This window comes from Homo sapiens, chromosome 12, assembly GCF_000001405.40.
Source record: "Homo sapiens chromosome 12, GRCh38.p14 Primary Assembly".
Classification (NCBI taxonomy): Eukaryota; Metazoa; Chordata; class Mammalia; order Primates; family Hominidae; genus Homo; species Homo sapiens.
This window is the reverse complement of record NC_000012.12, coordinates 132,251,592-132,267,522: the sequence shown is the minus strand read 5'-3', so window position 1 is coordinate 132,267,522 and position 15,931 is coordinate 132,251,592. Positions and strand designations below refer to the sequence as shown.

Here is a 15,931-nt window from a genome sequence, read left to right as displayed (position 1 = left end):
CAGAATCAGCTGCTCAGGTTCTACCGTGAAGCCCTCTGGGGTGCTGGGCGACGGTGTGGGTTCTCCGTGTGCACGGGAGAATGCGTCTTAGCCTCACCAAGGACCCCCGGCTGCTCACCTCCCATCCTCCTGTCTGCTGTTTTTGCCATGGGCCAGCCTGTGTGCTGGAGCGAGTGGCTGGGAGTTTGGTCACATGCCTCCCAGTGTGGCCTGCTCCAGTGGCCCCTGCTTTGGAGCCCACCCCATCCACCCCTGCCACAAGCTGGCGCCATGTGGCCCTGCCTGCCTCCTTCCCCGCCCTGGTTCCCCTGCCTGCCTCCTTCCCTGCCCTCATTCCCCAGCCCTCCTCTCGGCTGCTCAAGCTCTGGGCTCAGGTGTCTTCTTTTTTGTGAGACAAGCCGGCTTTTCCCACTTCCATCCCTCTCTGCGCCCACATGCCACCTCCTCACTGCTCCTCGGGGAGAGAGCTCAACCGCACATCCAGACGCGGATCACACCTCGGGCTGCCCCTTTCGCTCGCTGAGTGGAGGCTGCGTCTGTGACGTTTTATTCTCAGAGACGCCAGGATGCTCACCTGAGTCTCTGCCCCCAGCCAAGGGAGACCCTGAGCCTGTTTAGGGACAGCAGGAAATAATGACAGAGGCTCAGGACCCCCCTCATATCCCCATTGCCCGACTCGGTGGTGGCCCACGCAGCAATGCCGAGAGCAGCCAACGCTGTGCTGGCAGAGCCACCTTGCAGGAGGGGAGGTCCAGGCCCCAAGTCCGAGAGCAGAAGACAAAACATCTCCTGTGGACACTGTAACAAGGAGCCACAAGCAGGTGGCTTCCAACAATGTGAATGCACTGTCCCCCGTTCTGGAGGGCAGACCCCAAGATCACAGAGTGGCCAGAGCTGTGCCCCTCCAGAGGCTTCAGGGAGGATCCCTCCTGCCTCTCCCAGCTTCTGGGGCTCCAGGCTTCCCTGGGCTCGTGGCCGTGCCATTCGAGTCTCGGCCTCCACCTCCACATGGCCTCCTGCCTGGGCCTCCGTGTTGCATTTCCTCTGCCCTCTCTTTAAGGACACCGTCGTTGGATTTAGGACCTGCCCTAAATCCAGGATGATCTCTTTATCAGTGGGTGGCTGGGTCAGGTTCTTGACTTTGCAGCACAAAAGAATTTGAGAGCAAGTCCAAAGCTCAAGTAGGCAAAGAAGTTTGTCACAAAGCAAAGGCGCTGCTCGGAGGGAGAAGCAGCCCCTTAGCTCGAGGGGAGTCCTTTCTCGGGAGCTGTGCATGCACATTCATGAAATATGGTGAGGTCAGGCGTGTAAAGGCAGACAGGCCCGCGGTTGGCTGTGCATGCCTGTTCATGAAATACGGCGAGGTCAGGCGTGTAAAGGCAGACAGGCCCGCGGTTGGCTGTGCGTGCCTGTTCATGAAATACGGCGAGATCGGGCGTGTAAAGGCAGACAGGCCCGCGGTTGGCTGTGCGTGCCTGTTGATGAAATACGGCGAGGTCGGGCGTGTAAAGGCAGACAGGCCCGCGGTTGGCTGTGCGTGCCTGTTCATGAAATACGGCGAGGTCGGGCGTGTAAAGGCAGACAGGCCTGTGGTTGGCACACATGCTCAGTACCTACATGCTCCAACACACACTGCATGTATCATTACATATAGAATCCTCACCTGGGGGTGTGTCTCTTACTATTAAAATGAGCTGAACTTGGAGTGTAACTGTGTGTACAGTGTCCTGGAGAAGCCCCTGGCCCCTCCGAGGCAGGAATGTGTGGCTAAGAGCTTGGTGGGCTTTGGGTGCTGACTGGCTGGAGATTGGGGAAGCTACATCAGGAATAAGGTATCTTCATTGTCTTTCCCGGGCCTGTACCGGGCATCAGGAACTTGTAAGCATCCGGCTGTCGGCTGGTGTCCTGTGGGGCTGCTTACCTTGCGAAGCCTGCTGCAAAAGGGGCCCGGGGGCTTCACACAGGGAACAAGGACGTCAGTGTGGCCTCCTCATCCTACCGATCCTGCCTCAAGCTCATCTCAGGATCCCTAACTCAATTACATCTGCAAAGATCCTAGTTGCAATAAGTCACATGAGGACAGGCCCTTCTGAGATTAAACCCGGGCCAGAAGATGTGTTTCCGAGATCGGAGACAGAGGCCCATGTCCTGCTGACACTGTGTCTTGGGTCGCGGGAGGAGGACACCGTTCAGCCCACCACGGAAGGAAAGGCTTCCACGGGGAGGACCGGTCCAGCCGTCATTTTCTCCCCGTGGCCTCTCCCTCATCCCCAGCAGGAGCGCAGGAGGACAAGGCTGGGGGCTGAACTTCGGGGTGAGCGACTTGCCTTCCTCATTGATGGGCATTTGGGACTTGTTGGAAAATCTTTGCGCTCCTTTATCTTTTTCTTGGGGCTGGGTTGAGCCTTGCAGAAAAGCGAGATTTGGAAGAGTCATCCTGGTCTTCATTGTCTTCCATTTGCCAGCAGGTGGGCGACAGGGAGTTAAATAAAAACGCTTCAACTCCGCGCGTGTGGAAACGACCTGGCAGGATCTCCCTCGTACGACCTGCGAGGCGGACGCGGTTGGGATCCTCATTGTGCCGGAGACTGAGGCTCCCAATGGCTGTCGGTCTCGCCTGTGGGCGCCTGGGCTCGAACCTGGATCGGACCCTGGCGCTGCTCCCTGTCAGGAACATCTGCTGACGGCTGGTCCAGCATCCACGGGCCCCACTTCTAGGAGCCGCACCTGCCAGGCCCTGAGTCCAGCATGACGCGGTGGAGCATAAGCCAATCTGAGTGCCCTATTTCCTCTGGCCACAGCGATTGGTTCAGGGAAGAGCACGTCACCCAATCAGAGCCCAGCAGACACAGGGATGCTTTTCCTGCGTGTCCTGGGAAGACAGGTGGGTTTGCTGCCCTGGACTCAAACCCCTGGAAGGTTTGGACCTGCGGGGACACAGCCTCCGGCCACGCGGACACGGCCTCCGGCCATGCGGACAGGCCTTCCTGAGATTAAACTCAAGCCAGAAGGCTGGAGCCAAGAGAGGCAGGCAGAAGCCTGTGTCCCACTGACAAGTTTTGACCCCCGACCAAGCCGGGCCCGAAACCAAACACACCTGGACTTTTCCTACGGATGAGCCACCAGCCCCCTTCCTGCTTAGGCCATCCCGGCTCGGCTTCTTCATGTTGCTGCTGAGCGGAGAGCAGAGGATGCATCTGGAAGGTTCTGTTGCCCTGATCGCTCCTGGGCTCCTCACACGCTTCTCCGCGTGGCCAGCGTCCCGGGGGCCTCTGCGTCCATCTCTCAAACCTGTGCCATGAGCTTGCAGGGAGGCCTTCTGTTCCATGCAGGCGGCTTGTTTATAAAGCGAGTGGCCGCTGAGATCCATCAATAAAAGGCCGTCGATATTCTGGGGCAAGAAGTGGGTACCGAACATGGATTCTAAATCAAATGAGAGGTCATTGAGAATGAGTGCTGTAGGTGACAGGGATTCTCTGCCCCCACCTGCCCTCGTAAAGTCTGAAGAGGCTGGAGGCCCCCGGGAACGGTCACGCCATAAATCACTTGTCCTTGCTGCTTGCAAGTTCTTCAGCACAGGTGCATGTGGCCCCGCAGCCAGGCCCGAGACGCCTCCTGACCTAGTGATGGAGGGAGAAAGAAGGGTGGAGTCCACCACTGTCCCCCAGAGGCCAGCAGCTTCCTCCACTGCTCCGAGGAGGCGTAGGGGGCAGGCGTGAGTACTTCACGGGCCCAGCCGGTGCCTGTGGGGCCCCTTGAGTCTTCATTTGTCCCCTCATTACACAGATGTTTATAAAGTACCTGCTGTGTGCCGGGCACAGCCTGGGTTCTTGGTATAGAGCTGTCAATGGGACAGAAAAGGAGCTTGCTGTCAGGGCGCTCACGTTCCGGTCACGGGGGGAGACAGACCTGCAGGAACAAACAGGTACAGGGTGTGCGCTTGAGGACGGTGAGGGGGGCCACCCCATGGGACAGGACTTGCCACAGGCTTTCTGAGCAGCCCTGCCCCCCTCCCCCTGGGCTCTGGGAGTGCCTCTGCCCACCACCCCAACTCCAAAACCTCTCCTTTCCAACCTGCAGCCGCTCCTGCAGTCCGTCCTAGGACGTACTTCCTTTCTCAGGACTTTCTGTTTTACACATTTTGCAAGTTCATGAAAACTGTGCAATCCAAGCTTTTTCCTCTACAGATGAGTGGAGTGACGTTTTCTTGTCAGAAAGCATTTTTCTGAGTGATGAAATCTCCCTGGCTGAGCACCACAGCCCAGATAAATATGATGGTGGCGCACAGCCCTTGTCCCTTTGAAATTCTCACCAGAGGCTTGGAACCAGCTATGAGCCAGGGCGGGAAGTGGCTGCCTGTGCGGGTGGCTGGCTCCTTGGCTGTGCCCAGCTCCTCGGCTGTGCCCAGCAGCGCCGTCCCCAACGTGCTCCTGAAGCTGATGGCTGGGGTTGGAATCCAAGCACCTGCACTCATGGCCCACAGGGGAGGCTCCTGTCTGTGGAACGGGGACGTTCATCTCCTCTCGGGGTCGCTGTGAGCACGGGGTGGGCACAGGGGCCATGTGTGTGCTGAGTGCTGTGTTACTGTTACTAGTTTCTCTCTGGAACAGCTCTGGCCCCCGTACACCCTTGGCGTCTGGTTGTAGGGTCCAGGCCTTGTCCAGTGACCCTCGAAGGGTGCACCTGGCTCCCGGGGTCCCTCATGCTGCGCCCTGACCACACCCCAAACCGTGTCTCCTGCAGGTGCAGACAGATGAGCTATGGCTCCTGGGGTCCCTCATGCTGCGCCCTGACCGCACCCCAAACCGTGTCTCCTGCAGGTGCAGACAGATGAGCTATGGCTTCCGGGGTCCCTCATGCTGCGCCCTGACCGCACCCCAAACCGTGTTTCCTGCAGGTGCAGACAGATGAGCTACGCCCAGGACCTGCCCCAGGTCTCCGTGGTCTTCATCTTCGTCAATGAGGCGCTGTCGGTCATCCTGCGCTCCGTGCACAGCGTGGTCAACCACACGCCCTCCCAGCTCCTCAAGGAGGTCATCCTGGTGGACGACAACAGTGACAACGGTGAGTGGGCGGGGCCTCGGCACGGTGCTCGCCGGGCGGCTGCCTGTGGCTGGGTTGAGTTGGGGTTGGGTGGAGCCTCCGGGGGCAGAGCGACAGAGGACTGCACCCCATCTGTCCGCAGGGGCTCTAAACCTATGGGGGTCCCTCCTGCCTTCCAGCCTCTGTCATGGCTGCGTACGTGCTGTCCCCAGTGTGTGGCTGCCAGTGCCTCTCTCTGCCTCCATTATGCGGCCTCTCCCATGTGTCTGCATCCTCTCTTCTTCTCATGAGGACCCAGACTAGACACAGAGCTCACCCCAAATCCAGGAGGATTTCATCTCAAGATACTCAACCGGATACATCTACAAAGTCCCTGCTTCCTCTCCTCTCAGGCTCCGGGTGGAGATGAAGTTGGGGTCAGCCACCCCCTTCCACAGAGGCCAGTAGAGCTGAGCTCTCCAGAGTGCCAGTCACGCCTCCCACCTCTCTTGCCCACAGAGGCTCACACCAGAGCTTGGCTGGACAGAGCTCGCAGCTGGAGCCCAAGCCCCATGGTTCCTCAGCGCCACCCTCCTCAGCTTCAGGTCCCCTGAGGGCAGTGCTACTCACACCCTGTAGCACACAGGCTTGAAACCCCAAACAAGGATCTTGCACTGCCCCAGGCCTGTCCCCCATCTGCCCTTCCCAGGCGCAGAGCAGAGAGCCTGCAGCCGTGACACTCCCTCTGGAAATGGAGGAAAACATGGGGAGCCCCTTCCTGACCCCTCGTGGAGGCAGGAGGCTGTGCCATGGGGCTGTGGGGCAAGCTCTGGCCTGCAGCAGTGCCCTAGCCCAGCAGCACCGTCTACACTGGGGTCTGTGTGCAGAGGACTGAATGGCGTGGCTGCCCTCCTGAGCCCTGTCTCGCTGGAGAAGGTGGTGTGTGGGGAGGACCATCCAGTCCAGCTCGGCTACCTGTGTCTTGCCCTTGGCCACAGGGAGCTCCATCAGGACACCCTGCCCCCAGCATGGAAGGCCACGTTTGTGTGTCCACCCATCCATGCATGGACTTGGTTTTTTACAGCTGACTGCAGTCCTGTGTCTCCACAGCATGGGCTGCTGTCTGTCTCTCTGTCTGTCTGTCTGTCTGGTGTGTTTCCTTATTTGCTGTGTCTCCCACTGGAATGTCAGCATCATGAGGCTGGGGTCTCATCTCTCTGTGACCTCCACGCTGAACCACATGTGGTTCAGTGGGTCCTAAGAGAATGTTTACAATACACCCATCCCACACGCGGCACGCAGCATTTCCAGCCTTGGGTCTTGGTGGCCCCGCGCCTGCCAGCACCTGCCAGCGTGCTAAAGTCTTGTCTCTCCTCAGTGGAACTCAAGTTCAATCTGGACCAGTACGTCAACAAGCGGTACCCAGGCCTCGTGAAGATTGTCCGCAACAGCCGGCGGGAAGGACTGATCCGCGCGCGGCTGCAGGGCTGGAAGGCGGCCACCGCCCCAGTCGTCGGCTTCTTTGATGCCCACGTCGAGTTCAACACGGGCTGGTAAGGGCCGGAACAGGCTGGACAGCCAGTCTCAGCGGGTCCCCCTCCACCATCCCCCTCCTAAGCCGCCGTGCGGCTGCAGCCTGGCCGCTGGGTTGGCCCCGGGGCTGGGAGACTCGCCGTAGCCTTCAGGATCTGGGACTGAGAGCCACCACTGAGTCCACCTGTGCGGTTACCTCTGCGGCCTCTCTGTGTCCAGCTCCTGAATGCAAAACCACGGGAGGGCAGGCCCAGCACGCACCCAAGGACATGGCGCTTAGAAGCTCCCAGGCATGTGTATGAGGCTTGGTCTGTGCCCACCTTGCCCCAGGAGAATGTGACCCTGTCCTGACTCCAGCAGGCTCGGGTACCGTGTGTCCCCCGCGGGGTGGGAACCTCAGATCAGGTGGGGTGGGGCTAAGGTGCAGAAGTCCGGCCTCTCAGGCCCTGCTCAGTCACTGGAGATGGCCACGAGTGCCCCCGAGGCCTTAGCCTAGTGCAAGGGGCGTGGGAAGTGAGCTTCTGGGCTGAGGGGGTCACCTTGTGTATGGGGTCCTGGGGCCACCAGCACAAAGCAACCCCTTCTGGGCGGCTCGGAGCAGCAAGACTTCACCTCCTCACCGTTCTGGAGGCCCAGAGCCCGACTCCAAGGTGTGGGCAGGGCCCGACTCCAAGGTGTGGGCAGGGCCGAGTTTCCCCCAGAGGCTCCAGGCCCTTAAGGATCCCTCCCACCTCTCTCAGCTCCTGAGGGCTGCAGCCCCCACCTCCGACCCCCACGCCCTCCCTGTGTCTGTTTCTCCATCCCTGCCTTATGCAAGGACCCTTGTCATTAGAGTTGGGGCAGTCCAGGATGCCCCCAGGCAAACCCCAAAGCCAGCCCCACAGAGGGCACCTACGGGGTCCATAGTGCACTGGGTGTGTTCCCTGCACCCAGGCAGGCCCCGCGCCCACAATGCTCAGGGTGTGTTCCCCGCACCCAGGCAGGCCCCGCGCCCACAATGCACAGGGTGTTCCCCGCACCAGGGCCAGGACCCACCCCTGTCCACCCAACCACAAGGAAGACCCGGGAGGACATTTTCCCCACTTCCTGGAGAAACAAAAACTGAAGATTTAATATCAACTCTCCTGACTCATTTTTCAACTCAGGGAAATATGGGCTGTTGTCACTGCAGGGGGCCTTGGTGGGAAGGGCCAGCTGATGTTTGATCTCAGTGTTACACGGAGGCTGGGACTGTCATGATTGGCTGGGACACCCCACTGCATGTGACCTTGGGCCTCCTGCTGGGTCCCCGGGGAACCTGGCGTTTTGGGGCTTCTTAAAGTCCGTGGTTTCCATAACAGCATCAGTGGGTTCAAGTGGGGACTTGGCACCTCTCAGGCTTCTCCCCTCACACTCGGCTTTCCTGGGGCATCTCAGTCCCCAGCCGGCGCTGTTCTGACAAGACGCTGCCTCCTCTGCCCTGTGCCCTCCCTTCCCCTTCCTCGCTCCTCCGCAGGGCGCTTTCCTTTCCCTCGATGTTTATCAGCTTCTGACGTGTTGTGCATGAATTGTGTTCCACTGTCTGCCCCCCACAATGTCACCCCATGCAGTCGCACACGTTGTGCACTGCACAACTACACCGGCAGCCTTTTAGTCCCTCTGATGCCGGGTAAGCTCCCCGAGGCCTGAGGGCGTCTGGGGGAGCCTTGGGTCTGTCACGTCAAAATGCAATTTTAAACCGGTCCAAATTTAATTTTCACAACTGAAAACCCAGTTATCCATCTGCAAATAGCACCCCCTCCCGTAACTGTCTCCACAAAGGATTCTGCCTTATTAGAAGACCTGGCATTTCCAGGGAGCTTTTCATCTCTGAAGCACTTCGCTAACAGTAATTAATTAATCCTCCTCACAAAGCTGAAAGGCAGGTAAATACCAGGCCTCATGCTCAGAAGGACGGGAAGAAGGGGTGAAGACAGCCGTGTGGTCTCACAGGCAGGGTCAGGGCCTTGCCTCTCCCCATGCCGGCTCTGCCTGAGCCGACCCGAATCTGCCCTCAGGCCATCCAGCCTCTCACTGCAGCCTCTGGGCTCTGTGTCAGCCAGTGGCTGGGTGGCTTTGGCCCTGTGGGTCTCCAGCGTGGACGGCGGGCCTCTGCGGCCATCTCACCTTGCGGTAGACCATGGCGTCTCCAAGGGCGAGGGCTGCACCTGCTTCCCAGGACCCCTGCTTGGGACGGGGAATCGAAGACTGAGCTGATGCCCATCGAGGCTGCTTCTACTCACCTTCCTCTCTGCCCTCCTCGCCCCCCATTGCCCCATCGCTCTGTCCGGCCTCCTGGCCAGCCCTGCAGGCCCATTAGGCACACGCCCGGGCTTCGGTGCAGCTGCCGCACCCTCTGAGACTCCCTCTATGCCTCCTTCCAGTCACTACCCAGGGCAGCCCTACTTAAAACTGTGAGCCCCCTCTACAACATCCACGACTGCTTATACCTCATCCTCCGTCCCGTCCTTGAGCGGGGCCGCTGCACACTCATGCAGGTTCCACTCTGCACAACGGTGCCTGGTGGCTTTTCATCCCACACCGTGCGAGCTCCCCGTGGCACGGATTGTTTTTATTCCTTAGTTCATGATTGTATTCCAATTTGTGGGAACAGGGCGTGGCACATAGTAGATCCTCAATTAATTCTTGCAAATGAATGCAGCTCCCACAGGAGCAGGAAAGGAGAGGAGGGACTCGGGGCTGGGCAGAGAGGGAGACCGAGCTGGGGAGCCCCGTGGTGGACATAGCTGACCTCTTATGGACCCCTGGGCAGCCCTTCAGAGATACTGCAGTTGGGCCAACGTGGCCGGTGTCAGCGTCCCCCAGGGGCCAGTGGCATTCGAGGGGCTACCCCAGCAGGGGTGAGGCCTTGGTCAGGGTGGGTCTGCTGCTGAGAGGGGCCCTTGGGCTTCCAAGGGAGGATGTGGGTCTAGCTCAGCAGGGGGTGGCAGGGCTAGATGCAGACCAGGTGGGGACTGGCCTCCCCTCCCTGTGGGCGAGTGGACCCTCCTCAGGGAATGCGGTGGGCTGGGGCCGCCCCTCCTCACAGCTGTGCCTCCGCAGGGCCGAGCCCGCACTGTCGCGGATCCGAGAGGACCGGCGTCGCATCGTGCTGCCAGCCATCGACAACATCAAGTACAGCACGTTTGAGGTGCAGCAGTATGCGAACGCCGCCCATGGCTACAACTGGGGCCTCTGGTGCATGTACATCATCCCCCCGCAGGACTGGCTGGACCGCGGCGACGAGTCAGCACCCATCAGGTGAGCTGCGCCCTCAGGGGTCGAGGGCGGCCCTGCCCGGCAAGGAGCGGAGCAGAGCGAGGCGGGCGTGGGGACGAGGGCCAGGGATGAGGGCCGGGGACGAGGGCTGGGGACGAGGGCGTGGGGACGAGGGCGTGGGGACGAGGGCGTGGGGATGAGGGCCGGGGACGAGGGCGTGGGGATGAGGGCATGAGGACGAGGGCCGGGGACGAGGGCGTGGGGACGAGGGCCGGGGATGAGGGCATGGGGACGAGGGCTGGGGACGTCCCCCAGCAAGCACAACCTGGTGCAGGGGCTGAGCAGAGACCACGGTGAGTGTCGGGCCGGGTGCTGGGGCCCCTGGGCTTTGCCATAAAAACTTGGCACACAGAGCTTGTCTGTATCACAGAGATGCAGACGCAGCCCTCAGGGTTCACAGGAGCCAGTACTAACGGCTTGAAGGTTATTTTTCTTCATTCAAAATGCACTTGATAATCCCCAATTAGCAGGAAAAGGATCGCCTTGTGTTTGACATTTTAAAAATCAGTGAAATTCAGAGAACCCAATGGGAGGCACCTCCCACAGTTTTTGGCAGGCTCTGGATGCCCTGAGCTGTGGCAGGAGCAGGCTCACTGGCCCCATCAAGTCTTCAAGGCATGGCTGCCCCCCTGCTCCTCATAGCCACCACCTGGACAGCTGCTGAAGCCCCCCGTTCCAGCTCTCAGCTAAAGGACAGGGCGCGACATGAACAGACACTACCCAGGAGAAGACTGGCCTGCGCCAGCAAGCTCATGAAATGTGCTCCCCACAGTCCAGGGAGATGCAAATTCAACCCACAGTGAGATGGGGCTCTGTGCCCACTGGGGTGGCTGAAAGGTGCAGGCTGACAATACCAAATGTTGACAAGGACATGGCACAGATGCAACTCTCGGACATGGCTGGCAGGACTGTGAATCGGTGCAGCCACTTTGGAAAACCGGCAGCTCCTTCTGAAGGCCCGAAACCCACTCCAGTGTCCCCCCTTCCAGTGTCCCCCCTCCAGCGTCCCCCCTCCAGTGTCCCCCTCCAGCGTCCCCCCAGTGTTCCCCCTCCAGTGTTCCCCCTCCACTGTCCCCCTCCACTGTCCCCTCCAGTGTCCCCCGTGTCCCCCCTCCAGTGTCCCCCCTATTCCACTCCCAGGTGTTTTTCTCAAAATAAATGAGACATGCGTACATGCAAAGGCTTCCACACAAACGTTCACAGCGGCGTTACTCACAGTAGCCTCATATGCGTCAGCAGGTGAATGGATGAGCAGGGCAGACTCCACCCACATCACGGAATACTTAGAAACAGGGAGGAGTGGACCCTTCCACACCTAACAACGTGGTGAGATGTAGAGGCTCATGCTGAGCCTCGGAGCCACACATGGAAGAGAGTGTCTGCGTGATTCCTGCACACAGAATTCCACGGAAGGCAAAATTCATCCTGGGTGGAGGCTGAGGGTCGGGGCTCACAGGGAAGGGGCCTGCCTGGGACAGTTCCAGGGCAGCAGTGTTCTCTGCTGGAAAAGGATGGGGTCACCCAGGGGTCTCCATCAGTCAAAATGGGCCAAAATGCAAAGATCACATGGATGCATTTCATTTTATATAAATTTCACCCCTCAAAGTTGATTTTAAAGAATAAATGAAATATTAAGGCAGGTGCGGTGGTTCATGCCTGTAATCCCAACACTTGGGAGGCCCAGGTGGGTGGATTGCGTAAACTCAGGAGTTCGCCCTCCCTCATGGGGACAGAAACAGCAGACAGCCGCAACGAGATGGGGCCATGTTAGAAGTTCCAGGACGGCTTCCATGGTGGACACCCAGCGTGAAGATCGCAAAGGCGCATGTGGGTCCACGCGGTGTTGTCATCGCGGCCGGTGCCCCTGCGTTCCATGCTTAGCGTGCAGGCGTGCAGCCTGCTGGATGTGTATGTTTTAGGGAGAAGGAATCAATGCACACATGTCAGGTGTGCACTGGTTCAGTCCAAAAGGCGGGAGGACCGGAAGTGGGGACTTCCAGGCCATGGGCGGATTCAAAGATTTTCTGATTGGTAATTGGTTGAAAGAGTTAAGTTATTATCTAAAGACCTGGTATGAATAGAAAGGAGCATCTGGTTAAGATAAAGGGTTGTGGAGACCGAGGTTTTATGATGCAGATGAAGCCTCCAGGTAGCGGGCTTCAGAAGGAGCTTCAGAAGGAGGAGATTGTAAATGTTTCTTATCAGACTTAAAAAGGGGCCAGACTTCTGGTTAATCTTGTCTGGATCAGAAAAGACCTCCAAAAGAAAGGGAAGTCTCTACAGAATGTTGAGTTCCCCCACAAGACACAGCATTGCAAGCCATTTCAAAATACATCAATGAAATACATTTTGGGGTAAAATACTTAACTTCTTTAGGGACCTGCTAACTGTCATTTTGGATGCATTTTATCTCTACAAAAGAGTCTGTTTGGTCAGACTTAACATCTGTGTTTTAGTGTTCCAGAATTCCAAAGGGAGGAGAGTCTAAGGGGCTTGTCCAAACCCTCTTCCCATCAGGACCTGAGCTCGTTTTCCTGGGTTACTTTGGGGTGCCCTTGGTTGAGAAGCGGCTCCATTCAATTGGTTGGGGGTCTTAGAATTTTATTCTTGGTTGACAGAACCAATACTTAATCATTTTCACTTGAAATCTTATTTTATGTGAAAATGATTTCTACTCTTTTTGAAAATTGGAAGATTCTAGGCCCCAATTCTTACTCAGTCATGATGAACTGAAGCTGAGCTGTGGCTGCTCCCTCGGACAGAGCAGAGCCACAGTCACCACCTGTCCCAACAGCCGCTCCCGGCAAGCCCATCTGTCCTGTATTGTTTATCATTTGCTGATGCTGCTGCTCCACTTGGGGAAATAATTCTCTAGAGCTGGGTCCTTACGGGAGAGGGAGAATAGGGACAGACCAAGAGGACTGACTATTTCAAGAGAAAGAAGATGAAGGCTTTGATTTCACCATGTTCAACAAGTGACACTAGCCCTCTTCTCTCTTGTACTTTACCTGCCTGACCTTCGTGTAAGTTTGTCTGTCAAAACTCACCCTGGAGGATCAAAGTCTGGGCGAGAGCCCCATCAGAAATCAGCTCCCCACTCACTGGAGGATCACAGAGTCACGTGCTGGAGCCCTGTCAGAATCACTCCTCTCGCATAGAGGATCAGAGTCAGAGACATGAGCCCTGTCAGAATCACTCCCCTCATGCTGGAGGATCAGGAGTAATAGGCGAGAGAAAAAAATAAGAAGGACACGATGCTGATCATCGCTGAAACTGAGAACACATTCTGCTCATCTTTCTCCTTTTGCATACACTTGAAAATTTCCATAAAAGTAAATATGCATATTAAAAGCAGCGGAGGGGCCGGGTGCAGTGGCTTACGCCGGTATTTCCAGCACTTTTGGGAGGCCGAGGCGGGTGGATCACCTGAGGTCAGGAGTTCCTAGCCTGGCAAAACCCTGTCTCTACTAAAAATACAAAAATTCGCAGGGCGTGGTGTCAGGTGCCTGTAATCCCAACTACTTGGGAGGCCGAGGCAGGAGAATTGCTTGAACAGAGGAGGCAGAGGTTATAGTGAGCTGAGATGGTGCCATTGCACTCCAGCCTGGGCAACGAGAGCGAAATTCAGTCTAAAAAAAAAAAAAAGAAAAAACAGTGAAGGGCATTTTCAAGGATGTACAGCAGGGGTCAGGGAATCATGGCCCACAGTCCTGTATTTGTAAATAAAGCTTTATTGACACACGGCCATGTTTCCTCATTTGCATATCAGGGCAGAGGGGAGCAGCTGCCACCCAGGCTTCTGGCACAGAGCCAAGACATTTACACACTTGCCCCGGGCAGAGAAAGTGTGGGCCCTGCTCCAGGACGGCATTTCCGTGATCTCTTTGGGGAATGGAACTTTAGGTGCAGGGATAACCACCTCACTTTTTAAGTCCTAACAATTTTCACTGTGGGCAAAGGATTACCTAGGTGCCGAGGCAAGAGACTGAAGGCACAAACTTTCAGTATAATAAAGAAAATAGTTAGAATAAGAATAATCATAATACAAGTCAGATATAGAGATGATCATGGACAATTATCAATCATTATTATAAACATTATTAATCATTAGCTTTTAATATTACTCTTTGTTGCATTACTAATATAATCTAGGAATAACCTGAGGGTATAGGGTCAGGTGCTGAAGGAACATTGTGAGAAGTGACCTAGAAGGCAAGAGGTGAGCCCTCTGTCATGCCCGCATAAGGGCCGCTTGAGGGCTCCTTGGTCAAGCGGTAACGCCAGTGTCTGGGAAGGCACCTGTTACTTAGCAGACTGTGGAAGGGAGTCTCCTTTCCTTGGAGGAGTCAGGGAACACTCTGCTCCACCAGCTTCCTGTGGGAGGCTGGATATTCTCCAGGCCTGCCCGCAGTCATCCGGAGGCCTAAACCCCTCCCTGTGGTGCTTCAATGGTCACACTCCTTGTCCACTTTCATGCTCCTCCCGCACTCCTGGTTCCTCTTTGGAGTTCGTAGTAGATAGCAGAAGAAGAAATAGTGGAAGTCTTAAAGTCTTTGATCTTTCTTATAAGTGCATAGAAGAAAACGCTGACATTTGCTGCCTTCCCTCTCTGCTTCAGCTACCTAAAAGGGAAGGGCCCCCTGTCCTGTGATCATGTGACTTGCTTCACCTTGTCAATCACTTAGAAGATTCACCCTCCTTACCCTGCCCCCTCGTCCTGTATGCAATAAATATCAGCGCACCCAGCCGTTCGGGGCCACTACTGGTCTCCGTGTCTTTTTTTTTTTTTGAGGCAGTTTCGCTGTTGTTGCCCAGGCTGGAGTGCAGTGGTGCGATCTCGGCTCACCACAACCTCCGCCTCCCAGGTTCAAGCGATTCTCCTGCCTCAGCCTCCCTAGTAGCTGGGATTACAGGCATGTGCCAGCACGCCTGGCTAATTTTTTTTGGTATTTTTAGTAGAGACGGGGTTTCTCCATGTTGGTCAGGCTGGTCTCGAACTCCCGACCTCAGGTGATCCGCCTGCCTCGGCCTCCCAAAGTGCTGGGATTACAGGCATGAGCCAGTGCGCCCAGCCAGGTCTCCGTGTCTTGATGGCAGTGGTTCCCCCCAGGCCCAGCTGTTTTCTCTTTATCTCTTTGTCTTGTGTCTTTATTTCTGACAATCTCTTGTCTCTGCACACGGGGAGAACACCCGCTAAGCCCTGTAGGGCTGGACCCTACATTTCACTCTTTCCATTGTGGATGCAAACTCTTTCTAAAACGTGGCACGTGCTTCTCTGCCTTCTCAGAAACAGTTTTTAAATAACATTAAATGTCAGTGTCGGCGTCCGCAAGACACGAAGGCTTCAGTCGTGGCGGGGATGCGGCTGCAGGAGGTGCCCATGTGCCTGGGACTCTCTGCCCTTCCTGCGTTCACAGCCGCCTGTGGCTCATCTTTGGAGGCCTCTTTGCTCCCTGCAGAGTTGAAGCACCTGAGCTTCAATGGGACAGTCCTAGGCAGGAGTGTGGCCTCACTGCCTGGGCCTGTGGAGGTGGCTGCCCTGTTGGCCTCCACCCTGTTCTAGTCCTCTTCCTGCTCCCCTGCTCCTTTCTCCCAGACAGACGCTGGGGACCATCCTCATCACGGAGGATTCCTGGGATCCCAGTTAAGATCCGGCACCCCCATCACGTGAGCAAGGTGGGAGAACGGCAGGAAGGACAGGCAGCCTGGCAGGCGGGGGGCAGGCCTGGGGGAGCTGGCTCTCATCGGGGCTGCTGGTTCAAGTGTGACTTCGGAGGACACCTGGGGACATGTGTTCCTCCAGGAAGAGGTGGGGCCCCCAGGCTGTGGGTGCCCAGAGGCTGCTGATGTGCCACCAGCCCCTCCAGGATCAAGGGCTGTGCTGACACCAGGCCTGCCCACCTGAGAACCACTCGGAAATTATTCCCTCCAAAGCTCTGGAACCCCAAGCACTACCTCCATTCCCCAGGGCCCTCCAGCTTGCAGAGCCCTGTCTGCCGGGGGCTGGGCCTGCGGGGAGGAGACCCCTGATTTTCTCCTTCACCCGAGGAACAAAGAACAGGGTGCTGTCCCTGAGACC

The 15,931-nt window shown here is 57.1% G+C and overlaps 1 protein-coding gene across 1 annotated transcript in view, besides 2 other annotated features; it reads left to right on the top strand.

Annotated features, from left to right (window-relative positions):
* Positions 1–15,931, top strand: part of GALNT9 (polypeptide N-acetylgalactosaminyltransferase 9) — a 133,218-nt gene that overhangs the window by 62,067 nt on the left and 55,220 nt on the right. The window contains exons 3-5 of the mRNA NM_001122636.2: positions 4,898–5,064; positions 6,401–6,575; positions 9,637–9,834. Coding sequence (NP_001116108.1) covers positions 4,898–5,064; positions 6,401–6,575; positions 9,637–9,834 — 540 coding nt within the window. The remainder of the gene's footprint in view (positions 1–4,897; positions 5,065–6,400; positions 6,576–9,636; positions 9,835–15,931) is intronic.
* Positions 11,177–11,696: an enhancer, noted in NCBI's record as "H3K4me1 hESC enhancer chr12:132832380-132832899 (GRCh37/hg19 assembly coordinates)". NCBI's record gives its function as "activates a minimal SCP1, AML or CMV promoter by ChIP-STARR-seq in naive H9 embryonic stem cells {active_cell/tissue: H9 hESC(naive)}" and the evidence as "EXISTENCE:reporter gene assay evidence [ECO:0000049][PMID:30033119]".
* Positions 11,697–12,217: an enhancer, noted in NCBI's record as "NANOG-H3K4me1 hESC enhancer chr12:132831859-132832379 (GRCh37/hg19 assembly coordinates)". NCBI's record gives its function as "activates a minimal SCP1, AML or CMV promoter by ChIP-STARR-seq in naive H9 embryonic stem cells {active_cell/tissue: H9 hESC(naive)}" and the evidence as "EXISTENCE:reporter gene assay evidence [ECO:0000049][PMID:30033119]".